General features: G+C 41.9%; 1 protein-coding gene across 28 annotated transcripts in view, besides 5 other annotated features; it reads left to right on the top strand.

The window, feature by feature from the left end:
* Nucleotides 1-26,166, top strand: part of EBF1 (EBF transcription factor 1) — a 403,997-nt gene that overhangs the window by 137,297 nt on the left and 240,534 nt on the right. The window contains exon 1 of one of the 28 annotated variants that reach the window (XM_017009199.2): nucleotides 19,738-20,926. The exons of the other annotated variants lie outside the window; for them this stretch is intronic. The gene's annotated coding sequence lies outside the window, so the exon portion shown is untranslated. Of the gene's footprint in view, nucleotides 1-19,737; nucleotides 20,927-26,166 lie in introns of those variants that run through there. 28 annotated transcript variants of the gene reach the window in all.
* Nucleotides 3,938-4,800: an enhancer, noted in NCBI's record as "OCT4-NANOG hESC enhancer chr5:158384828-158385690 (GRCh37/hg19 assembly coordinates)". NCBI's record gives its function as "activates a minimal SCP1, AML or CMV promoter by ChIP-STARR-seq in naive and primed H9 embryonic stem cells {active_cell/tissue: H9 hESC(naive and primed)}" and the evidence as "EXISTENCE:reporter gene assay evidence [ECO:0000049][PMID:30033119]".
* Nucleotides 4,060-4,109: an enhancer, noted in NCBI's record as "active region_23539". NCBI's record gives its function as "activates an Ori minimal core promoter by ATAC-STARR-seq in GM12878 lymphoblastoid cells {active_cell/tissue: GM12878}" and the evidence as "EXISTENCE:reporter gene assay evidence [ECO:0000049][PMID:35858748]".
* Nucleotides 4,140-4,209: an enhancer, noted in NCBI's record as "active region_23538". NCBI's record gives its function as "activates an Ori minimal core promoter by ATAC-STARR-seq in GM12878 lymphoblastoid cells {active_cell/tissue: GM12878}" and the evidence as "EXISTENCE:reporter gene assay evidence [ECO:0000049][PMID:35858748]".
* Nucleotides 8,264-8,393: an enhancer, noted in NCBI's record as "active region_23537". NCBI's record gives its function as "activates an Ori minimal core promoter by ATAC-STARR-seq in GM12878 lymphoblastoid cells {active_cell/tissue: GM12878}" and the evidence as "EXISTENCE:reporter gene assay evidence [ECO:0000049][PMID:35858748]".
* Nucleotides 10,066-10,723: an enhancer, noted in NCBI's record as "NANOG hESC enhancer chr5:158378905-158379562 (GRCh37/hg19 assembly coordinates)". NCBI's record gives its function as "activates a minimal SCP1, AML or CMV promoter by ChIP-STARR-seq in naive and primed H9 embryonic stem cells {active_cell/tissue: H9 hESC(naive and primed)}" and the evidence as "EXISTENCE:reporter gene assay evidence [ECO:0000049][PMID:30033119]".

The raw sequence follows: 26,166 nt of genomic DNA, 5'->3' as shown, positions 1-26,166 counted from the left end.
AATGCTAGTTAACTGAGGAAAGTGAATAGAACATAAGAAGTTGTACTCTGATAAAACAAAGCTTTCTATAATGACACTCTGGTTTATAGCACTGAGAAACTTCATGATTCTAGAAACTCTTCCTAGGGAGTGTGCAGAGTCAAAGTTGCAAACTGGCAACTGTGATCATATTGAGCTTGGGGAAGCGTTTCGTTTGGCCATTGTGGTGTTGTTGCCTTGTAGATGGGGTATATGGTCCTCTGCTTGCCTCGGTCCCCAGCCTCTTGGCAGCTTCACTTCATTATGTTATTGGCTTGGTTTCCAAGGCTTTTGAATTGGAAGCTCTGAGTTTAATGTGATTGTTTGTTTTGTTTGGGGCCTACAGGAAGGTAAGCAAGAGATGCCTATTTTATTTTCAAAACATCTGAGAAGGGGGCTACATTTATGGGATGGGCTAGTTGTTGACAATGTTGTTTACGTATTTTGGAAGCATACCGCCCCTCAAGCTGCCACCGGCTTTATCAGATCACTTAAACACAGTCCTGTGCTGCCATCGATAGCAGTCCAAATCTGTGACAATTGGTAACCTTCAGCGTTTGTATGGAAAGATGGTTGATCGGCCTGTGCATCGGCACAGATGCAAGGTGTAAACAAATGGGGTTGATGCATTTGTGCCACTAACCACTCAGGTTTATACAAAAAGTATCAAGCTTTCCCTGTTTCATCTGGAATAAGACTTTCTAGGATTTCAAAATTTCATTTTTCTCTCTTCCTAAAAAAATTCGCTCTCTTTCCCTCAGAAGCTTAGATAAAGAAATAATTATTGAGAAAATAGAAATGACCTCCACTGGTCGGAGTTTTACTTAGTGGTAGGTGGTAAGCACATAATTTATCTCTTGTTCCTAAAATGATTTTTATTTTTTAGAAAATAAATTAAAAGAGTAACTTACATTCTCTGTAGAGAATTTAAAAGAATACAGACTGGAAAGAAAAAATTATCTTTTATCCAAAAATTTGGAAAAATCATCTTTTTAACATCTGTATTTTTTTCAGAATATTTTCTCTGTATATATCAGAACTGTGTATTTACAAAATTGGATTATGCTGTTTTGTGACTTGCTTTTTTCTTTTATTGTGAATATTATAGTGTATCTCATAATTTTTTAAACACATAGTTGCACAGCGTTACATCCTATGGCTATAAGTTATTTACTCTGTTGTAGAGTCTGTAGTCAGTTTTCAATTTTTTGCAATTGTTAAAATCAGCAATGAGCCACCTTGTGTATCTTTGGGTTGAATATGATTTTTTTTTCCTTTAAGCTTAATTCCTCAAAGTGTAATCTTTGAATTGAAGGAGATGATCATTTTTAAGCCTTCTGATATATGTGGCTAAATTGCCCTCCAAAAAGGTTATACTGTTTACACTTTCACTATGTGTTAAGACAGTGCAGTTCACTGGCGTCCTCAAAGGACCTCATTTAGAAACTTGTACCAACTTGGTAAACTGAAATATAGTATTTATATTTTGTGATTATTGCTGAGGTTGAATACTGAGCTCGAATATTTTTCTTTGTGTTTTTGGCCATTTATATGCATATTTTGGTGAATTGCCTATTCATTTTCTCCCTTATTTTTTTCCCTTATGGGCTTTTATTTAGGTTTCAAAAAATAAACATTTATTGTCTCACAAGAATTTCAGGTCAGATGTAGCAATCTGAAGGCTCGACCGGGGCTGGGAGATCTGTTTCCAAGGTAGTTCGTTCACAGGGCTATTGGCCTGAGGCCTCAGTTTCTTGATACAAGGCCTTTCCGGGGCTGATTGGGTATCCTGATGACATGGCAGCCAGCTTCTCCCACACTGAGTGAGCCTACAGAGAGCAAACAGGAAACTGACAGGCCTTTTTGACCTAGTCTTGGAAGTCACACATTGCACTTTTTGTCTTCTTCTATTTGTTAAGAGCAAGTCACTAACTCTAGCCCACATTCAGGAGAGAGAAACGAAGTTCCACCTCTTGAAGAATTTGTGGATATATTTAAAAACCATTAGAGAACCTATTTTTTAAAAACATTTTTCAAACATTTTCCTCCAGTTTGCCCTTCAATTTAAATTTTTTTTTACAGAGATGTACAATTTTAATATACTTAAGTCTATTAATCATTTCCAGTTTTAGAGTCTTTCTTTTGCTTTGTGCTTAACAATGTCTTCTTTACTCTAGGGTCAGATAAATCTTCACCTATATTTTCTTTTAGTTCTTTGTTGATTTCACTTTTTACATGTAACCTCTTTAGTGTTTCTATAATTTATTTTTAGAAATAAATTAGATACAGCAATTTTTTTCTGAATAACATTTATTTAAGTGGCAATTTTTGAATAAGCTCACTTTCTCTTAATGATTTAGAATGCCTCATTTATTATCAGTAAATATAGGGTAGATATTCCACTGATACTTACAATATGACTATAGCCCTTATTAAAATCTTAAAATGCTTCCATGCTGATTGGTAAATATCTGCTGCTCTAAGTGTCCCCTCCTTTCCTTCCCCCTCAGTTCAGACCCTTCTCTATCAATTTAAAGGGGCTTCTCTGGTGCATTTAAAGGAGTGAGTGTGGTATTATGTCTTCCAGACTGGAGCTCCAGGGACAATGTAGGTGTCAATTCTGCTATTTTGAATAGCCACCCTAACTAGGGATATATAGGCACATGGCTTTCTGTTCTGTTCCATTGATTGGTCGATCTAGTTTGATTCTCTTACTGCATGATTTTAATTGCTATGGCTGTATAATGTGTTTTAATTATATAATCATCCCCCATTTTCATGACTATTATTGCTTATTTATTCTTGTATATGAATGAATCATATTTTTGGTTAAAATAATGTCTTTAGAAAGTTGAGTAATGTATTAAAGACTAGGGAAGTTGACATCTCTACTAAATTGAGTCTTTCTATCTTGAAAGTATATATATATATACATACATATATATTCTTTTGTCTTAAAAGTCTTCCTATTTTGAAAGAATTATATATTATTTATGTCTTTAAAATTCTTGAACAGGCCTGGTGGCTCAGGCCGGTAATCCCAGCACTTTGGGAGGCCGAGGCAGACAGATTGCCTGAGGTCAGGAGATTCAGACAAGCTTGGTCAACATGGTGAAACCCCATCTCTACTAAAAATACAAAAATCTTCCAGGTGTGGTGGCACACTCCTGTAATCCCAGCTACTCAGGAGGCTGAGGCAGAAGAATCTCTTGAACGCTGGAGACAGAGGTTGCAGTGAGCTGAGATCAAGCCACTGCACTCCAACTAGGGTGACAGAGTAAGACTCCGTCTCAAAAAAAAAAAAAAAATTCTTAAGTAGAGCTAGAGTTTTTCTTTATATTTTTGTTTTAGTTTATTTCGATTTGTTTTATGTTTGGCATCTTTTTTTGGTGTTAGGAATAGTATATTTTCTAAAATATGGGCAAATGGTTATTACAATTATTTATTCCTCAGATATGTTAATGGTTCAGGGGTTCTTTAAGAAAGTTATTTTCCAAGCTTTGGAAAATGCAAATTCACTGAAGTCCTTTAAATAATCCCTCCTCTCACTAGAATTTTGAATTACCTTGATATGATGCACAAAAATTCTGGTCACTTACATTGTTTAAGTAGCCAGTTCAAGATGACTTGGGGACAACTTGAGTAATGTGCGAATCGTGTGGGCAATCACATATTCCTGATATCCAAAATACCAGCCTTTTCATTTTCTTTTTCTGAATGTTTCTGCTTGAAATTACCCATGGTTTAAAATATGCACGGCACATGGCATTGAACGTGGGAAGTGTTGTTAAGTTTTGAATGGGATGGTTAGAAAACGGCGTTTCTGGTTGTGTAAGAGTCTCTCATCTGGATCTGAAGCCTCTTCCGGGGAATTCCAGGCCTTCTCCCCTCTATGTCATAAAAATGACTGGGTGACTTCGCAAAGCAATAATACCAGTGGGATGTGTATATTAACCTGTCTGTGGGGGGAAAATGCTGAGAGCAACAGGCCTATAATTTAGGTAATAGCGATAGCCTATGAAAAACATGCTGCTTTTGCCTTGATGCTAATCAGGAAACCATCAGACAGTCTTCCCTGACTGAGTAAGGGCAGGGCGGGAAGGAAGTCAGCTGTCATCATGTTTTTGAAGAAGAAAAAAATGAGAGGTGAACTGAACTCTGTGATCGGAACCTCACTCTAAGGCCGCTTCCTGAATTTAAAGGTGTGGTACTCCAATCAGCACCGCAAATTGGAGGCATCTGATTTGCATGGATTAACAGGAGTGGGTCACAACCTTCTGACAGGTCAATGGCACCACTGGGGATTTGAAGAAAACTTTGATTCTCCCTCTTTTCCCCCTCTGCCATGAAGCAATCATGCTGTTCTATTGTAAAAGAGGATCCCTTACTTATAAAGCCAAGCTTGTCATTTAAATTCACTCAAGTTAGGACACCACCGAGCTCTGTCAGATGTCAGTCTCAATTCAGCAGGAGAATGTTTTTCAACAGCTTTCTAACCTCTTTGCCGGGAAACACAGAGGCTTGGATCAAGGGGGAGGGGCAGCTGACTGGGCTTGAAGGATTTTTACAGAGGCAAGATTGGAATTTTTCATTTCAGGCAGGTTTTCTTTTTCTTTACGTTTTCTTATTATTATTTTTTCCTTTTTCCCTCTAAGCCTCGTGTAAAAGATATTCCCACAAAAAGAGAGTGAAAAAAAGTCAGATTGGTTGTAAGGACCACTTCAGTTGAGGGTCTCCTTGAAGGTATTTAAACCTGGGAGTGATGTTGGCATCTTTTCTGCATTAGGGGTATTGGCTGTTTGCCAATCATTTCCCTTGAAAAATATCATGCGGCCATAAAGGAACTATGAAATGTTTGGCAGAGGAAGCGTCCATGGCAGAATAGGGACAAAGGGAAATGGAGATTTTCTGATTCAGCCTCTGGTGCCAGACCCAAATAAAAAGAAGAGGCACATGCCATGGAACTATGGCTTACCTGAAACACCCTGGGTCAAGGAGCTTTGAAATGGTAGTGGCAGAGTTGGGACCATTTTTTTCTTGAACCTTGATTAACCAAGTGCTCTGGAGATAAAATGTTCAGAGAGTTCTAATATACTCACTTGCTACGTATTGTTTTCTACATTTAGCTACAACTGTTGATTCAGCATCTCCTATAGGCCAGATATTATGCCAGACCTAATTTGCAACAAAACAGATTTGGTTCCTGCCCTCTTGGGACTTCCTGCTTAGACCTGCCTCATCAATTTTCATTTCTTATGTGACTTAATCTTTGTCATTTAAATTCCAGTATTTTCTTGCATCCATGACAGTGCTTACCATTGTATTAATAATACCTTACAGAAAAGTCTGGTAAATATCTATAATTTTATTGGCTGTTCAAGTAATGTTTAAATTTATGAAGCCTCAGTTTTCTCATCTGTAAAATGGGGATAATAATGTCTATCTCACAGGGCGCTTGTGAAGAGTGAATGGTATAATGTATAGAAAGCACTCAGCAGAGAGCTTGGCACAGAGTTCTTAGTAATTGGGAGCTGCTAGCATTTTTCATTAGAAGTGTGGCTCACGCCTGTAATCCCAGCACTTTGGGAGGCCTAGACAGGTGGATCACAGGGTCAGGAGATCGAGACCATCTTGGCTAACACGGTGAAACCCGGTCTCTACTAAAAATACAAAAAATTAGCTGGGCGTGGTGGCAGGCGCCTGTAGTCCCAGCTACTCCGGAGGCTGAGGCAGGAGAATGGTGTGAACCCGGGAGGTGGAGTTTGCAGTGAGCCCAGATCGCGCCACTGCACTCCAGCCTGGGCGACAGAGCGAGACTCCATCTCAAAAAAAAAAAAAAAAAAAAAAGAAGTGTTGGTGGCAGAGGTAGTGGGAGTGGTAGTACATGCTTAACATCTAGAACCTTCTCTTCTGGTTAATTCCATTGGAACCTTTCTATAATATTTTCAATATTTTCAACTTCTTTTTTCTTTTAGTAAGTATGTCTTTCTCAAAGAATTAATTGTTTGGATGGTTGAAGATAACTTGGAAGACCTTAAGGTCGTGATTTCATGATTTGAAACAAATTGTCAAGAGCTATTTTAGAAGGAATATCTGAAAGTGTGCGTGCGTGTGTGTGTGTGCGTGTGTGTGTGTGTGTCTATGTGTGCGTGCATTCTAAGGTACATCCTGCAATTAAGCTTCCAGTTAAAAGTCCAGTTTTGAAAACCCTCTTGAACTTCTTTTTGAGTTCTCTTTCTTTTAATGGTTACAAATGTCCTTTCAGGGAAAGTTACTCTCAGCTCTCATTCTCCTCCTGGTGAAAAACATTCAGAGACCATTAGGCTGCATCTCAGTGAAAGGAAACTGCAGCATAGAACTTGATCTGAAAAGCCTGTGACACACCGTGTCGCTCCAAAGTAGAAGCCTCCTTGGTACTACAAGACTGTGGACTGGAGTGTGTTGCTGGAGTTTGACATGGGTTCAAATCTTGCCTTTGCCATTTATTAGCTTTGTGACCTTGGGCAAATTTCTAAATCTGAAAGACACACACACACACACACACACACACACACACACACACACACACACACATTTATATTTATTTAATTAATGCAGTATCTGGCATATTCAAGCAGGAGCTTGTAACAAATAAGTAACAACTGTAAGAAATAAGTATTTGTTGCATAAACAAAGCAATGGCCTGCAGGTACTCCTCCTTTGGTAAGCCATTGCTAAGCAACTCTTTGCTACTCTTCCTTTCAGCTGCTGGCTGAACCTGCAGCATCTTCTTGTGACTCCCCTCAATGGTAGCACACTTCTACTCTTTGAGGGTTGATCTGAGTTTCGGAAACAGCCAGCAGTAATTTGATAACGAGGCTGGTGTAAAACATCAGTCGATTAAAGATCATTTTAGATCAGAAATGATGCGTCCCTGTAAGGGAACTACTATATTGAGATGAACTCAAAACATTCTGCCTGGATTTCCAAGAAGAGCTGCAAATGCTCTCAAGCAGTCTTCCAAAGTGACAATTAAGAATGGGATGGAATTCATTTTGATGTCCAGCTCTGGTCTAAAAGTCAGTCACATTCCAGGTCTCACTCTGGCCCCTGTGCTCTGGAAAGAGAGGAGCAGTGAGATATGGCCATTGTTGATATGAAAAGCAGAAGGTGGAGGTCCCAGGCTGCTGAGTTAGCCCTCAGTTTGAATCCTGCGTCTGCTGTTTTTTAGCTCTAAGTCCTGAGGCCTCTAATATACATCTACTCTGCAATTACTTCTCTCTCTCTCTCTTTTTTTTTTAGATGGAGTTTCGCTCTTGTTGCCCATTCTGGAGTGCAGTGGTGCAATCTCGGCTCACTACAACCCCTGCCTCCCGGATTCAAGCGATTCTCTTGCCTCAGACTCCCAAGTAGCTGGGATTACAGGTGCCCGCCACCACTCCCGGCTGATTTTTGTATTTTTAGTAGAGATGGGGTTTCACCATGTTGGCCAGGCTGGTCTTGAACTCCTGACCTCGTGATCCGCCCTCCTCGGCCTCCCAAAGTGCTGGGATTACAGGCGTGAGCCACTGCGCCCGGCCCAATTACTTCTCTGTAATTTTTTTCCCCTGAGGATTGGTGGGGAAAAAAAATGCTTGGCACATAACACTCCATGTTAAGTTTCAGGATTATTTCTTCTTTTTACATTATTTTAGTTTTTTGTTCATATGTACTCAGGGCTCACACTTTGCTTGGCTCCGTAAGTCCTAGAGAAAAATGGTATGAGAAATGAATTCACATGAAGCATTAGTGCCTTAGTCTCTTACTGTTTTTACCTTTCCCGTGAATATTTGTGCTTACAAAATGGTGTCCAGAAAGGCAGTGCCTCAGCGAGATAAATATGTTTCTAATCTTAGCATCTTGGGCAGAGTGAGGCTGGCATCTGAGGTCAGGGAGGCCACAGGGCCACGCTACTGACCGCATTGGTAACAGACTCCATTAGGTTGACAGAAAGGTTAAGGTTCCTGGAATCTGTCTCTAAATTCTCCGTACCCCCTCATTAGGTTAGAAGCCAATGCCAATACAAGTAACCAATACCAAACCCTCTCTTGCTTACAGAGGCATTATTAAGTTGGGGGCACCCTAAGAACAATTCATTGCAAATAATTGTTGGCACATTTATTCTCATGGCACAACTTTCAAAAGCAAATTAATTATAAACTGGTTGCAATTTAATTCAGTTTGTCTGGATTATGTGTTTGCAAGGCCTAGAGTACATTTGGCACCGTTGCTGGCACATTTGGATTTTAATGTCTTTGACAAGCCACAGCTTCCTTGGCCTGGGTAAACGGCCTACTGCCATACTGTCATTTAACTAGATTGCGTCAGAGTGACTCTTTAGCTTCGCGGTGGGTCTTCAGTTTACAACCTCCACGCCACCCCATCAGCCGCACGGGCATAGATCTCAACATGTATCAGGAAACTGGAAGAAAGCTGTGAACAGAATACTCTGAGAAAATGATGGTTAATCGTGTAGAAAAGTTTAACTATTTGCATCAGCACAATATTACACAGGCACATACGACTTTCAGTTCCCTAAACCTGAGAAAAGGTTTAACAACATTGTGTGAAATCTGACATCTTGCTATTCATATAAATGTGAAAGGCAGATTGGGAAAAATACAGTAAAATCCCCGCTTTTGTGCAGAGAATGGTGCATATTTTTCCCCTAATTATGGAAGGTAGCCTTTTATTTCTTCTGAATTCATTCATTTCTGAGCCTGTGTTTTCAGCTTGCTTATGAAACTCAATTATAAAACCAGGGTTAAAAATTAAGTCAAGTCACAGGCTATACTCCTCTTTGATTCTGGGGCTCCTGAGAACTTCCAGCCCTCTGCCACTGGCTTGAAAAATCTCTACCCTTACAAATCTCTCAAGCTTTCATGCACCTCTCCTACACAGCAGATTAATTAAGGAAAAAGATGGAAAACTCCTGGCACCATTTTATCTTTCCAAACTGTGATTTGCCTCTTCCCCCTAAATCTTCCCTTCCCTCTCTTCTGCTCCTTTCTCAAAAAGAAAGTGTATGATTGTCAACTTTCTGAGTTCAAGACAGTGGAGGATTAAACTGGCCTTACTGAGATTTGAACTTGTGACTCAAGTCATTGGATTTTGTGAAAGAGGCCCAAACTCTCCGGACTGGACAGGTTACAGCTCCGGTTTCTGTCCCTCTGCTGCCTTTTCCTGGGTAGCATGATGATCTCTGGCATTTATCTATCTATGAGGCTTGCAAAATCGCGGCCTGTCATAATGGTAAATAAAATGTGTTAAAGTTAATATGAAGAAGAAAGGAGCAATTACAACTGCTTAAAACAGTCTTCAAATATACTTAAGCAGAGGTTTGCCACGTAAACACACAATTAAAGCAGGAATTTGTGATGGATGCAAGGGTTTGACGGTCCCAGACATACTGTTTACTGGTGTAGTTAGCAGATGGATAAGTCAACTGATCCCAGATGTGCAGCTTATAAATATAAACTCATGTCTTACTAGTGATGTATGTCTGCAAGTAGCAACAAATTACTTTCTATTTAACTCTTGACTGTTTACTAGGGGGAGCTTTGTAATGCTCACTTGCTTAAAAAAAAAAAAGGATTTTTAAACAAGTTTCCTCTTTTAAAAGTGGTAACCAAATATCTAAAAAAAAGGTACTTTGGTGCAGAAGTTGTTTTAAAGGACAGGTTTAAATAGGCTTACTTTTTTCTTTTAAGTTCAGATACCTAAGCCTTATGTCCCTAGCCGCAGTTTTCAGATATTTGCAGCTAATTAATTCTTAGGAAATCTAATCTGAATTGAATTAATTTTCCCTTTTAGGGCACACGAAGCAACTTTTAGGTAAGAAAAAAAATGAAAACAGCTTTTGTTGCACATAATTCTTGCAACTAATGAAAAGTAATATTGCTGTTCCCTTCAAATAATGCAATAACAAAACACCAAATGAGAGCATTGCATTGTATTGTTATATTTGCTGTTTAAATAATTTAGCTGCAAAAATCTGAGGGCTGCTTTAGCTGTAATTAATTATTCATTAATGACATGCTAATTGCACAATACCTTTGAATATTTAACAAAATGCAAAAACCAGGCTCTGAAGTTATGTTTTTAGTGCAAGGGGGAGAAGATTCTTTAGTCCATCACTGTACCAGGAGGACAAAAAAAAAGTCCTTTTTCAGATGCGAGGTAAAGTAGTAGTAGTGGCCTACTTTCCATTCACCATCTCAGTCACCCTTTGTGCCGTGGAATATAATGTCCTTATCTAGACTTAACAATTGACAGGGTGGTAAATCCCTTGACTTTTGTCCAAATGATTTCTCTACAAAAATGGGTTAATTATCGCCTTTCCCTAGCTTTTTGACTAACAAAAGGCCCTGGATCTCTTTTTTCCTTTCTTTCCTATTTACTGTAAGGAGCTCTTTGAAATGTGATAGTTTAATCGGCAACACCTTCTACAGGGGGAATACTGAGAGGCCGGCCTGGCCCTGCCTGGAGCTCAGGTTGCTCTGTGAACATTACCGTGGTTAGGAGATATGACCTTTATTATGCCAAAGCCATCCTGGACTTTCAGGATGAAAAACTCCTGAGTGCTCGGTAGTCGACTTCATTTGTTTCTGCTAATAAAAGCTGGCGGGTTTTTAACAGTGTCTTTTAGTGGGTGGGATGACTAAAGGGCACAGTGTTGAACTGGCTTAGCTGTGTTTCACTAATTCCCTGCAAGACAGCGAGTTTGCATCTTTCTGTGTCCTGTCTCTGTTTCCAAGCCTGAAAGCTCCTCATTGTCTCTGACCTGTAAGTCAGGGATACTCTTCGTAGTGGATAAGCAGAGAAGAGGACTGGCTTTTTTTCTTTTTATTTGTCATTATCACCCTCTTGGTCCCAATCAGAGAATCACCAGCCCCTAATTTAGTACAAGGCAGTGAGCTGTGTGGCAGCTTGTCCTTGTGGTTGAGAATATATTTCATGCACTAGGGCCTACTTAGTCATATTTTGCATTTGACTGCCATTACTATTAATGGCATTTATGAATGCACATTGGCGGGAAGAAGACCCCATTGAATCTGTGCATTATCAGAGATTGGGGAATTAGCATACTCCGTGTCTGGTTCATGATGGATTTTACTGTGCTGTGGAAATACTTAGCAATTAAATGAGAAATCACCATTGTGAACGTGCACCTGCCAGGAAAAAAAGAATGGAGTAGAGAAGGAGGGGCATTCACTCAAGTTGACGCCAAGTTCCCTCTTTTGCCATTGCCTTCTCTCATTTGGGAAATGCTACATCTGCCTGTAGCCATTGTTCAACATGGCAATATATAATAGAGCCACTGTTTAGTAAACGCATGGCATCACAGGCCCACCCAGCCAAAAGTGTGTCAGGGTCAAAAGTGTTTATAGTCAATTTGGAAGTCACAGCTTGCAAAGTGAAAAGTGAAATAATGCAAAAGTAATGTATGATTTAGTGCCACATGAATTAGAGAGTTCAGGGATTGCAAAGTGGCAAACCATGCGTTCAGACCAACCCAGAGTCAGATGCATTTTACTTGGCTTGAACTTTTTTCATTCTAAGTTGGAGTTAATATTGAAAAATTGGGAGATTTATATAGAAATCTGACTTTCCATCTTCTCTTGAAAAGTCAGAAGGTCTACCAACATGGGCTGCCAGCCATCCCACATGGCAACAATTGGCCAGAGCTAAGTAGCCCGGGCTTGCATTTTTCATTTGAATACCTCACCTGCCTGGAAGTTTCCTACTTTGGAATAGAGATTTGAGGTAGGAGTGACTATGGGTTAGAGTGAACAGGGAAGGATGACTTTTGGACAAACTCCACCAAATACACTCTCCACATGCTGGTGGTATAGTCATGATGAGATTTCAGATGGTTCCCGCCACTCATTTATAGCCTTTTCCTTTTCCAGAGTAAAATGTCAGAGATAAAGAAGGTTGTCTCCCAGGCCACTGAGGAAGTACTTCTTTGGCTTTCTGCATGGTCCTCAGAACGGGGCCAATTTTACTCGTAAGACTTCTTGTATTTCTTTTTTAGATCTCAGAATTTGTTTTATTAAGCCCCTCTTCTGTGCTAGACACTGGGCGGAGCATTTCTCACACAAATCCACTTCTTTCTGGTCCTGTGTGGGCTGGACTCTAGCAGTAGTCAATGGAAAGCTTTGGACTGCTATAGTGGAAGCTCTGCCTGGACTGAAGTTTTGTTGTGAAATAAATGGCAGTGTGAAGAACAGGTTACTATTCTTCATCGGCTACTGACTCTAGGACTTTAGCCTACCTTGAGCACCTTTTCTTGGGTACATTCACTTAGGATTAATGAATGATGTTGTTACATAAAACCTTGTTTCTGCCCAAGTCCTGAAGTGAATAACATCTAAGGGAAGTAGGCAGGAGTGCCAAGAGAAGCCAATTTCATCAGTGTTAATTGGAGACCTTTGGGCCAGGAAATAGAAGAGCATGGGTAATCCATGTCTCCTTAGCCCACTGCCTGTGTGGAAGCCAGCCTGAAACTTTTGATGTTACTTAGCAATATTAGGGAAACATCTGTGAACAGGCACCACTGTACACCACTGGGAATTGCTTAAAAGTGATACAACGTGAACCTGTCAAGTGACAAATACTGCTGTGGGAGCATGACTTATAAACTGTGTGAACACAGTTCTTCCTGGAAGTATGGATTGAGCTAGGGAGCGGTGGTTACCAGGAGAGAATTTGTTATCCTAGTGTGAATTAGGGAATGAATATCTAACATGAGACAACTAGAGCAGGGGAATTCTTGGATAAATATGGGTAGGGTGTGTATGGCTTAGCGCACATTTGAAGTTCATGACTGAGAAGATTTACTTGGTGAACATTTATTGAATAGATACAATGGGAAAGCCTGTATTTGTTGAAAGAGGCAGATATAGACATCTAAACCAAAGTACCACATTGGCCAGCCATGTCTAGATTGGGTGTGGGTCACCTTTTTATCTTCTAGGAAATTATCTTACTTGTTGAAGTGGCCTCTTTTGGAAAAAGCCTGAACATAGTTTGTCTATTGTGATCTGTTCTTTTTCCTGAAGAAAATATTTTCTTTTTAGTTTTTAATTTTAAAAAGTTTAAAAAGTTGTTTTTGTAGAGATGGGGGTCTCACTGTGTTGCCCAGGCTGGTCTCAAACTCCTGGCCTCAAGCAATCCTCCCATCTTTACCTCCCAAAGTGCTTGGGATTACAGATGTGAGCCACTGCACCTTGCCCATAATGAAAACGTTTTAAAGGAACTAGAAGAATGATAAATGGGTATGCCATCACGATGTGGAAACTATGATAATTCGAAAATTAAATCTGCTCAAATGCTTTTGTGGATTGATAAGAGACAAGTGATTATGGATCAAGTCATTAATATTCATCAATGTAAAGAATAAGTTGGGGAATTATATAGAATTGTAAGGAGAACAGGAAAAGGTATAAAAGGGGATATAAATTACTATTCTCCTATATGCACAGACAAAAATCACAAATGTCTAGTATAAAAAAGGAAGGGCCTTGAAATCCATTGGCATTTCCAGAAAATATTCCATGACCTACTCCTGTTGCAAATGTGCCTTTTACCATTGCAGGGTGATAAAATGCCATGATCCAACTCCAGAGTACAATTAAGGGCTTGTGTGATACAGCAGGCAGCCATTCCATACTTGAGAGTTTTCATTGTATAATTAAAATAAACTGAGGGGCGGGAGGCAGGGAATGAAGTAGGGGAGGAAGGTCCGGCTGAAGCGTATTCAGACATGACATTTTCTAATGTCGATAACCATCGAGAGCTCGGCTTCTCTGTCCATGAAGACGAGAATGCCACATGTCAGTCAAAGGCAGGGTCGCTGAGCAGGGCTGGAGACTGGAGAAAGCAAGGGAGGGTTCATTTGGCTCTGGGAGAGCGCAGACCGGCCTCTTCTCAGGCTTTAATTGTGCTTCCTTTGTGTCAGTGGTGTCCACGTCCAGATTTCTGAAGATGAGTCCTGATGATACAGAGAGATAGCAGGTAGTGCAAATTTGGCTCTCCCCTTTCAAGCTGGGATTCTAGGCCATGCTTAATCCCAGTGGAATAGATAAAAATAACACACCCAAGGAGCAATCTCAGACTTATGTTTTTGAAAGCCATTTTAAGCAATTTTGGCCCTTATACAGTATGCTTGAATAATGCCCCTGCTACAGTGGTTTTTTTTTTTAAACATTCCAGTGTACATCCCTCTGTGAGGGGCTCTGTCACTCTATTTATATCCTGTAGTAAACTAGCTTCCTCTCCTTTGGCTGGGCAGCAGCTGCCATTGGCCTGCCCTCGGGCCTCCCCTACATCACAGAGACAAGCATGTGTGTGAGAAGAACCCAGATCTCCCCCCAGCAAAGAACGGAATGAGGGCTCCAACCTGGGAGAATGTAGTGATGTTTTGACACACCCACCCGTACCCTCCACCCCGATGCAGGAAAAACTGGAATCTCTCTGTTCCTGTGACAGTCTGTCAATTTTGCTTCCAGAATAGTTCTTAGGAAGCACACTCACCCTCTAGGAATGGGGGATTCATGTCTTAAAAGATCATTACAAGTTCTTCAGTATATGCTGAAATTTTTTTCTGTTGCAGTGCTGGAGGTAAATACCAAGAGAACTAGTGCTTTAAAAGCAAAAGCTGGTTGTTAATGGAGTAAGGATGCTTCAGCGATTTAGGGAGGGAACTTTTAAAAGGGGGCTCCACATTTCTCCTGTTCTCCTTCAACCTCCATTTCTACACAGGAGGTAAATGATTTTCATCCCAACTCTTTACTTTCGTATTTAGCTTTGCTCAGACATGATTACTTCTCCTTTACGATTTCTGTTGGCTGCTATCCCTCTGTGTTCCTCCTGAATCTAGAGTTATAGATTGTCATGGCATAGATTAGAGAAAACCTTAAGGAAGTTCCCAGGCAAGATGGCCGAATAGGAACAGCTCCTGTCTGCAGCTCCCAGTGAGACCAATGCAGAAGGCAGGTGATTTCTGCATTTCCAACTGAGATTCCCAGTTCATCTCATTGGGATTGGTTAGACAGTGGGTGCAGCCCAGGGAGGGCGAGCAGAAGCAGGACGGGGCGCTGCCTCACCTGGAAAGCACAAGCAGTCAGGAAACTCCCTCCCCTAGCCAAGGGAAGCCGTGAGGGACCCTGCTGTGAGGGATGGTGCTATCTGGCCCAGATACTATGCTTTGCCCATGCTCTTCACAACCCACAGACCAGGAGATTCTCCCGGTTGCCAATACCACAATGGCCCTGGGTTTCAAGCACAAAACTGGGCGGCCCTTTGGGTAGACACCGAGCTAGCTGCAGGAGTTTTTTTTTTTTCCATACCCTGGTGGCGCCTGGAATGCCAGTGAGACAGAACCGCTCACTCCCCTGGAAAGGAGGCTGAAGCCAGGGAGCCAAGTGGTTTTGCTCAGTGGATCCCACCCCCATGGAGCCCAGCAAGCTAAGATCCACTGGCCTGAAATTCTTGCTGCCAGCACAGCAGTCTGAAGTCAACCTGGGATGCTTGAGGTTGGTGGGGGGAGGGGCATTTGCCATTACAGAGGCTTGAGTAGATGTTTTTCCCCTCACAGTGTTAACAAAGCCACTGGGAAGTTCCAGCTAGGGGGAGCTCACTGCAGTGCCACAGAGCCGCTGTAGCCAGACCGTCTCTCTAGATTCCTCCTCTCTGGGCAGGGCACCTCTGAAAGAAAGGCAGCAGCCCCAGTCAGGGGCTTATAGATAAAACTTCCATCTCCCTGGGACAGAGCACCTTGGTGAAGGGGCAGCTGTGGGTGCAGCTTCAGCAGACTTAAACGCTCCTGCCTGCTGGCTCTGAAGAGAGCAGCAGATCTCCCAGCACAGTATTGGAGTTCTAATAAGGGACAGACTGACTCCTTAAGTGGGTCCCTGACCCCCATGCCTCCTGATGGAGAGACACCTCCCAGCAGTGGTCGACAGACACGTCATACAGGAGAGCTCTGGCTGGCATTTGGTGGGTGCCCCTCTGGGATGAAGCTTCCAGAGGAAGGAACAGGCAGCAGTCTTGGCTGTTCTGCAGCCTCCGCTGGTGATACCTAGGCAAACAGGGTCTGGAGTGGACCCCCAGCAAACTCCAGCAGACCTGCAGAAGAGGGGCCTGACTGTTAGAAGGAAAACTAACAAACAGAAAGCAATAGTATCAACATCAAAAAGAAGGACGACCAAGCAAAAACTCCATCTGAAGGTCACCAATAGCAAAGACCAAAGGTATATAAATCCATGAAGATGAGGAAAAACCAGTGAAAAAGGCTGAAAATGCCAAAAACCGGGATGCCTCTTCTCCTCCAAAGGATCACAACTGCTCGCCAGCAAGGGAACAAAACAGGATGGAGAATTAGTTTGACGAATTGACAGAAGTAGGCTTCAGAAGGTGGGTAATAACAAACTCCTTTGAGCTAAAGGAGCATGTTCTAACCCAATGCAAGGAAGCTAAGAACCTTGATAAAAGGTTAGAGAAATTGCTAACTAGAATAACCAGTTTAGAGAAGAACATAAATGACCTGATGGAGCTGAAAAACACAGCACGAGAACTTCCCGAAACATACAGAAGTATCAATAGCCAAATTGATCAAGTGGAAGAAAGGATATCAGAGATTGAAGATCAACTTAATGAAATAAAGCATGAAGACAAGATTAGAGAAAAAAGAATGAAAAGGAATGAACAAAGCCTCCAAGAAATATGAGACTATGTGAAAAGACCAAATCTATGTCTGATTGGTGTACCTGAAAGTGATGGGGAGAATGGAACCAAGTTGGAAATCATCCAGAATATCATACAGGATATCATCCAGGAGAACTTACCCAACCTAGCAAGGCAGGCCAACATTCTAATTCAGGAAATACAGAGAACACCACAAAGATACTCCTTGAGAAGAGCAGCCCCAAGACACATAATTGTCAGATTCACCAAGGTTGAAATGAAGGAAAAAATGTTAAGGACAGCCAGAGAGAAAGGTTGGGTTACCCACAAAGGGAAGCCCATCAGACTAACAGCAGATCTCTCTGCAGAAACCCTACAAGCCAGAAGAGAGTGGGGGCCAATATTCAACATTCTTAAAGAATTTTCAACTCGGAATTTCATGGTACCAGTACCAAAACAGATATATAGACCAATGGAACAGAACAGAGGCCTCAGAAATAACACCACACATCTACAACCATCTGATCTTTGACAAACCTGACAAAAACAAGTAATGGGGAAAGAATCCCCTATTTAATAAATGGCGTTGGGAAAACTGTCCAGCTGTATGCAGAAAACTGAAACTGGACCCCTTCCTTACATCTTATACAAAAATTAACTCAAGATGGATTAAAGATTTAAACCTAAAACCTAAAACCATAAAAACCCTAGAAGAAAATCTAGGCAATACCATTTAGGACATAGGCATGGGCAAAGACTTCATGACTAAAATACTAAAGGCAATTGCAACAAAAGCCAACATTGACAAATGGGATCTAATTAAACTAAAGAGCTTCTGCACAGCAAAATAAACTATTATCAGAGTGAACAGGCAACCTACAGAATGGGAGAAAATTTTTGCAATCTATCCATCTGACAAAGGGCTAATATCCAGAATCTACATGGAACTTAAACAAATTTACAAGAGAAAAAAACCAACAACCCCATCAAAAAGTGGGTGAAGGAAATGAACAGTCATTTTTCTAAAGAAGACTTTTATGTGGCCAACAAACATATGAATAAAAGCTCATCATCGCTGGTCATTAGAGAAATGCAAATCAAAACCACAATGAGATCCCATCTCACGCCAGTTAGAATGGTGATCATTCAAAAGTCAGGAAACAACAGATGGTGGAGAGGATGTGGAGAAATAGGAACACTTTTACACTGTTGGTGGGAATGTAAATTAGTTCAACCACTGTGGAAGATAGTGTGGTGATTCCTCAAGGATCTAGAACCAGAAATACAATTTGACCCAGCAATCCCGTTACTGGGTGTATACCCAAAGGATCATAAATCATTCTACTATAAAGACACATGCACACGTATGTTTATTGAAGCACTATTCACAATAGCAAAGATTTGGAACCAATCCAAATGCCCATCAATGATAGACTGGATAAAGAAAACGTGGCACATATACACCATGGAATACTATGTGGCCATAAAAAAGAATGAGTTCATGTCCTTTGCAGGGATATGGATAAAGCTGGAAACCATCATTCTCAGCAAACTAACACAGGAACAAAAAAGCAAACACTGCATGTTCTCACTCATACTTGGGAGTTGAACAATGAGAATATATGGGCACAGGGAGGGGAACATCACATGCTGGGGCCTGTAGGGGGGTGGAGGACAAGGGGAGGGATGGCATTAGGAGAAACTAATGTAGATGACGGGTTGATGGGTGCAGCAAACCACCATGGCACATGTATACCTATGTAACAAACCTGCATGTTCTGCACATGTATCCCAGAACTTAAAGTATAATAATAAAAAAGTAAAGAATAACTGATGAATTTCAAATAAGTTTTGTCTCTCCTGCTTACACAAATCAATTGCTTGTGGCTGCTTGGAGTGCTTTGATGGGAAGTCTAGGAAGGCGCAGTCCGGGCTCAGTGGAAATCAGTGTGATGATAAAGCTTTCCCTGCACAAGAGGGTCTGGCATTTCCAACTGCTGATTTTGCATAATCTTATTTTCTATAGATTATGAGAGAAATGATTATAAGTCACTTGATTGACCCAAACATGGAGCAGTTGTGCTGCATAGAATATTTCAATGCCTTCTTTCCCATTTCAGGGTCCCTGGCGCCCCCTGCCCTCCCCACTATTCTGTTTCCCATTTCAGTTGAGATTTCAGAGATGGTTCACAGTTTTCCCAGGAATTCAGACTTCTGCTTAGAAGAGGCACTGCCACACTCTTAGGTAAAATCTGCTCAGCTTGCCTCCCTGATTCTAGAACCCAGAATGATTCTGGAAGTTATGTTAGAGGTCTTGTATGCATATGTCAAGAGAGACCTGTTCTGTTTAGAAGCTTTTCTGGGGAGATTTGGATCCAGTTATGGATGCCACGTATAATATATATCACAACTGGAATTAATTACTTCTTTCTGTAATTATTATATAGCCTTTCACCTTGCTAGATTTTAAGATCCAAAGGAGCACTGCTTTTTTCTCTCTTGTGTCCTCAGAGCCTGGCACAGTGCCTCCGGAATGTGTGTGTGTGTGTGTGTGTGTGTGTGTATCCAATAAACACTTGCTAAATGAAGTGAATGAATGGTTATCAGTACACTTTTAGACTCTGGAAGTTAGCCCTAAAGATTCCCTAAAGACTGTCTAGTTAGAATGATGACTAGCCTATGTGTCATTCTGGCCTCTGTTTGCATTAATGTGACCTCCTGAAAGACAGAAGATTCAATTCGTCAGATGACTGCCCTGGATTCATTTGTGACTCATGATCAGTCTTTCTAGTCACCTGAAACAGTCTTTTCTCTTTCTTTCCCTCCCTCCCTCCCTCCCTCCCACTTCCCTCCCTTCATTCCTTCCCCCCTCCCTCCCTTCCTCCTTTCCTCCCTTCCTCCCTTCCTCTCTTCCTCCTTCCCTCCTTCCCCCTCCCTCTTCTACTATCTTTTCTCTTTCTCTCCTCTCCCCTCCTTCCCCCTCCCTCTTCTACTATCTTTTCTCTTTCTCTCCTCTCCCCTCCCTTCTTCCCCCTCCTCCTCCTTCGACCACATTCTTGCAACAACACTTGCCTTGCTTTTGCCATTTCTACTATTCTCTTCTGGAGATGTATGGCGCCAACCCTGGGTCATTGTAGAGCCTTTCTAGATGGCCACTCTATTCCAGCATTTCTCCTTACAGTGTATTAAACCCCACGGGCTGGAACTTTCTTAAAGACCACTTTAGTAGACCATTCCTCCTTCAAAAACCTTCACTGGATCCCTATTTCCTTGTATTTGAAATTAAAGTCTCTATTTGGAATTCATGATAACTAGTAATCCAGTCCCACTTACCCAATTCTAATGTCCAGTGAAGCAAAACAACATACAATATTAATAAGGACTCTCATTTGTTGAGGGCTTACCACGTGTCAAACACTGTGCTAAATGTTTTTTTCCTATGGGGTTCCAGCTACTATTATTATCCCCAATTTATAAATAAACTTTGTAAAGCTAAAATAGCTGAAGTAACTTGCCCAAGGTTACATGATGAGTCAGTGATAGAACTAGGATTGAATGCAGGTGGTCTGATTTCAGAGCTAGGGCTCTTGACAGTTAGTTAATGATATTATATTTGATGTTCTTTGTATATTACCAGATAGGGGTTTCATATATACAGGGACACAATGCTAAATGTGATGATATCTTAGGACACTGCTTCACAATGAGATAAAAGTATTAAAAATAAGTACTGTGTATATATTTTATTTTATATAGCACAGTTTGTCAGAGAAATCCCCTAAATGATATATGTATTAATATCTGAATTTTTACCCACTGCTTTCTTTCTCATTTTCAGTGTTTGTAGTGAAAAGAATATTGCATATTTATAAAATGCATCTTTCTCTAATAGTCACATGCCTTTTGTTTCCTCAGAAAACTACTAAAGACATATCAGCTGGGAAACTATTCACAACTATACCAAGGCTTTTGTTTACTGATCCTTCCCATCCGACGAATCACTTCACCTTCAGAGCATTAGAAAAGAGGATGTATTTAAGTGGCCTAGGATACCACAGTTCTGGATACAGTAGTAGAGGTTGTTGCAGTTATTACTACTCCTTGGACTCATCACCATCTGATGTGGGACCCCTAATCCTTGGGCAAATCCTGCCCTTTGGTTTCAGCAGGGGTGTGGACTGAGAAAGCATCCTGCACACAGGTGAGGCAGTTTGCAGGTGCTATCACACCCCCACTATACCAAGGCTTTGTTCCAAGATATATAGCAACCAAATAGCATAACAAAATGGTTAAGATCTTGGGTTCTAGCATCTAGATCTTAAAATCTAGGATCAAGGATCTTTGGATCCTTGGAAGAAGCAGTTAAGTTTGGATAATTCAGTGGAAATCCTGATGATAAATGTGTGCATGAGTGTGTGTGCGTGTGCCCCTATAGAGTGTGTTTAGGAGGAGGACAGAGACAGGATGAACGAATATCTTCCTTCGAAACTTGCAGTGTTATTAGGCTCTGACTATAGATGGTTCCATTGTATTGGTTCCTTTGCCTCTGAAAAGCTGGGTTCTTGCTACAAGAATTTATGCTTGAGAGGTTTGCTGTATTTGTACGTGTTCCTGATTCAACGTCTCCAGTCTGCATTGTTTGGGTCTAACCCCTCACATTATCATTCTTCCTCAAATGTGTGTGTCTGGAATGAGTGTCTCTTTCACTCACAGCAAACCTGAGGTGCGTGAATGGTTTACAGAAAAGCCCCACGTGCCATATGTTCATCTTTTTTCTGTCCACCCCAATACAGCTGGTGGTAGTCAGCAACAGATGATTGTTTTCAGTTTTGTCTTTTCTTGAGGCTAAGAGCTTTGCCCTAATGATCTTCAAGGTGGTTGACATTTTCAATTAAAGTCTGCTCTGTCAGACAGACATAACTTCTCACAAAAAGCTGTCAGGAGCTGTCTCCTACCCAAATGTTACACAGATAATGATTATAATCATAATTGGTTTCAATTCATATACAGGCCATCCTTTCATCTGGAGTGGTTTTATTCCAGAGATAGTCCACCAGGAAGTGTCCTCTGTTGGGGATTCACTTTCCATTGGAGTCCATCCTCCATTTGACCTGCGGGGGGGGGGGGGGGGCGGTGGGGTGAAGGGGGTGCAGTCAGAAGGCTAATTGTGTGGAAAGAGCCTGTTTTATCTTCTCTCCTTGTAAAAGGCTGGATAAGGTGGCCTGTATGAACTTCCTGTCTTTGATGTCTCCCTGAGAATGTTCCAAGAACGTTCCAAGAACTACAGCAGCCAAATAGCACAGCAAAATGCTTAAGATCCTGGGCTCTAGAGTCAGACAAACCTAGGTTCAAATCCCAGCTTCACCACTTGCCAGCTGTCTGGCCTTGGGGAAGTTATTTTACCTCTTTAAGCTTTTGTTTACTGATCCTTCCCATCAGACGAATCACTTCACCTTCAGAACATTAGAAAAGAGGATGTATTTAAGTGGCCTAGGATACCACAGTTCTGGACACAGTAGTAGAGGTTGTCACAGTTATTACTACTCCCTGGACTCGTCGCGATCTGATGTGGGACCTCCAATTCTTGGGCAAATCCTGCCCTTTGGTTTCAGCAGGTGTGTGGACTGAGAAACCGTCCTGCACACAATCTCCAAGTTGTTCAGTCCTCTTCCAGGTGAAGCAGTTTGCAGGATCCATCACACCCAGCTCCTTGGCTAGTTGCTTTGTGGTTCTCTTACTAGCAAAGGCTGCAGCTGGTGATTCTGCTAAATTGAAGTGAGAACAAGAAAACTCTCCCAGAATGCACCAGGGCGAGGCAAGGCACTACAGCTACCCGCCAGGTAAGTAAGTACTGGGTGCTGCAGTTAGAAAGAGAGCAGGAAAGCCCCTGGGTGAAGCCTTTAATGAGGAGAGTGGTAAGAGGGTATAAGTGTATTCCTTGAGAGGGTATAAGTGTATTCTGTTTCAGAATTCCAAATTGGAATATTCAGACTTCATAATCCATGGTGTTTGTTAGCTTGGTAGTTGTGCGCCTCTGTGGGATCCTGGGCTCTGTGGGTCCAAGAAGGACAGATTTCCATGATGACATTTTGTTAGATGATTTCTGAGGTAGGAGCTACCTCGCAGCCTCCCCCACCCCCGCCCGGAAAGCAGACACGGTTAATCCTCCATGACTACTGATATTCGCTGATTGAGTGCTTAAAAAGTGGCAGACTAAAGATTTTCCTACAATTGTAGTGCAGATGTCCACATTCCACCAAATCATACCACAGAGCAAAGTCTGATTATGTCATTCCCCTGTGTGCATAATAAACCCAAACTTGACATTCAAGATACCAAATAGCTTCCCTTTTAACTAAATTTCAATTAAATCCAGGTTTGAGCCAGGTGTGCTGGAGATTTTCCATTTTCTTGCCCTTGCTTATTCTGGTCTGCTGATCTGGTATACCCATTTTCTGGTCATCATCTTCACGTTGACTACCAGCCTCTTCTAGGAGGCTTTCCAGCTCCCTCTAAGGCAGCTGGAAGTACTCATCTTGCCTCTGAATTTCCATAGCATGTGTCCATGTCTTCTGGCACTTTCAGCTTTGTACTTTGGAGCACAGGTTATTTCTATGTGCATCTTTTCTCTGTCTAGGCTATAAGTCCTTGAGGGTTAGTTTCTAGTTTATCTTTGTGTTTTTCAGAAGACTCAGCCCTTGTCCCGCACATAATAAGCCCTGAGGTACATGTGAGGCCAATGAGTAGCACCAAGTGCCCACGGGCTCCATTTAATGTGCTGCTCCTCTTGATTTATTTAGATGCATAAAAGCACATGTGTGCCAGGTCTTGAAATTACAGCAGAAAATAATATGGACACAGCTCTTGCTCTCCTGGAGACTGGTGGGAAAGTTGGACCAGTAAGCACACGTTATGTTCAGTGATTCCATACTTAAATCCAGGATGTCATAGATGTCTCTTGGAGGGGCCCTAAGCTAACATTTAAGGGTAGGTCCTAAAAAAAGAAGAGCTTTGAGCTTTGAAATGTTATAGACTGAAAGTTTGTGTCTTTCCAATATTCATTATTTCAAAGCTCCAACCCCCGATGTGATATTATTAGGAGGTGAGGTTTTTGGGAGGTAATTAGGTTTAGAGAAAGTTAGGAAGGTATAGCCCTCCCCTGCCATGATGGCATTACCGTCTTCATAAGAAGAGGAAAAGAGAGGAGAGCGCTCTCTCTCTCGTTCTTTGTGCCATGTGAGGTTGCAGCAAGAAGGCAGCCCTCTGCAGACTGGGAAGAGAGCCCTCAGCAGATATTGAATCTGCAGCACCCTCATCTTGGACTTCTCAGCCTTCAGAACTGTGAGAAATACATTTCCTTTGTTTATCAGCCACACAGTCTATGGTATTTTGTTATGGCAGCCCCAGCCAACTAAGACAGTAATAAAGATGGGAAGAGCATGAGAGTGTTTGGGACAGAGGGAACAGCTGGGACAATTCCCGGAGGAGAAGGGAACATAGCTTGTTTGGAAAACCCTAAATAGCTTATAATGCTGGAGCAGAGGAGGGGAGGAGGGGGGTGAAAGGTGAAGCTGCACAGGCTGTCCTGGGTCAGGGCCTGGAAGGCACTAGGGTTCATGTCAGAAATGCTGGACTCTCCCCTGGGAGCAAAAAGGAGGTGATTGATTAATTCAGAGGCTATGTTAAAGTATCGCAATTTTATGTTGGTTATTCAGGATCTGGCAGTAAGGATAATGAGTTTCTTTTGAATTGAAAAGGGTCTCAAACAAAACAAGAACAAAACCAAAACAAAAATATCAAGATTCCAGGAGCAAAGACCAAGGCACTTGAGCCGGAGTGAAAATTCCTCCTTCAAAGAAAGGTACATTTTGCCTTATAGTGTGAACATGCCAGGTCCACGACGAGACATTATTCTCATGGCTCTGACTGGCAGCCAGGAGCCATGGAGGAGCTCTTGAAGTGAATGGGAATATTTCTTGAGTGGTTTATTGAGAAAGCACAATGGCCAAGGGGTGGGTGTGGGGGACAATGCTTCAGGCTCTCGCCAGTGGGTGCCTGATGAAATACATCTTGACGTGTCATTGAAGTGTGGAGCCGTGCGGCCCCGTGAGGTCACCTGTCCCACCCCCTGCCCAGGCAGATTATTCCTCACACTCTCTTTCTCAGCTCTTTGTCCAGTGGCTTTATGCACCTCAAGCGATGGGGCTTCCACTGCCTCCCTTGGGAAGCCATTCCGCACTCGAATAGAGCCCGCTCTTAAGAAGGTTGCCCTGATATTCAGCCCAAGTTTTCCTTTCTGTAATTACATCCCATTCCGCTCTGCTCTACCCCTTTGCGTGACCCTGAGCAATTCTTTCCCTTCATCGGTGTGCCTACACCCTTGCTCAGGGAGAGTATTTGATCCTCGGTTCTTTTTGTCATCCCTGAGCTTTGCTTATTCCTGGCTGGTGCTGCGGGAACCCTTATAAGTAGCTCCTGCTGCTGTTCTCTTTAATCCTCGTGGCTTCCCTTCTTTGATTTCTGTCCAATTTGCCTATTTCTTTCAGGGGTACTGAAGGGCCCAGAATGAATCCGAGGCTTCCTAACTATATTATTTATTAATATTTTATATGGAAGACCTTCTCAATGATGCTAAACCAGGTTGGGTGGAAAATAAAAATCTCTTTGAAAGACGGAGCTGATGTGAACTCCCTGTGATAAGGACTCTGGACACTTCAGAAAAAAATGAGTTTGAATGCAAGGAAAAGTACCCCCACCCAGTCTTCTGATATTCATGCACCTGTACTTCATTGTACTATTGAGGGCAGAGGAAGCATGAATTTAGGCCACCGAGAGACTGAAATGACCCTCCCCAGTCAGTCGCACTAAGTACAGCCTATTCTCCAAGCCAAGCTTTCGGTTGCCCTCCTCCATGACCCTCTCTTTGATCTCCCCTAACCTCTACTTTGGTATAAGCAGATAAAAACAATCCCTCCTTCCTATGACTAGCCACAGTACTTTTGCAGGGCTTGCTTTGGTGGTACTTCCTATTCTCCATTTTATTCATTTACCCATCCAGCAAACATTTATCTCGTGCCTACTCTGTTCGTGATACTATGGCTCATACTGGGGGAAGTGGAAGATCAACAAGATTAAGGTTACAGGGCAAAATTCTTGCCCTCAAGGAGTTTCCCATCCAGAGGAGGAAGCCAGTGCATAGCTGTAGACAGATGCTGGAGTGGAAATGTGCTGGAAAACTGCATGACTATGAAATAGGAGTGACTTGCAATAGATTCTCATTCTTGTTGTGGATTGTGAGCTTGCAAATGTGGGAAGGGACACCGATTTATCTGGGTAAGCCTACGAAGCCTACCGTGTGCCATCCACATGCTGATGTTAGTATGGTGCACTCATATGTGCCAGGCAATGTGCTAAGCACTTTGTATGTGTATGTCATTTAGT

The sequence above is a fragment of the Homo sapiens genome, chromosome 5, assembly GCF_000001405.40.
Source record: "Homo sapiens chromosome 5, GRCh38.p14 Primary Assembly".
Lineage (NCBI taxonomy): Eukaryota > Metazoa > Chordata > Mammalia > Primates > Hominidae > Homo > Homo sapiens.
Note: the sequence above shows the minus strand (reverse complement) of the source record. Positions and strands in the feature narration are given on the sequence as shown.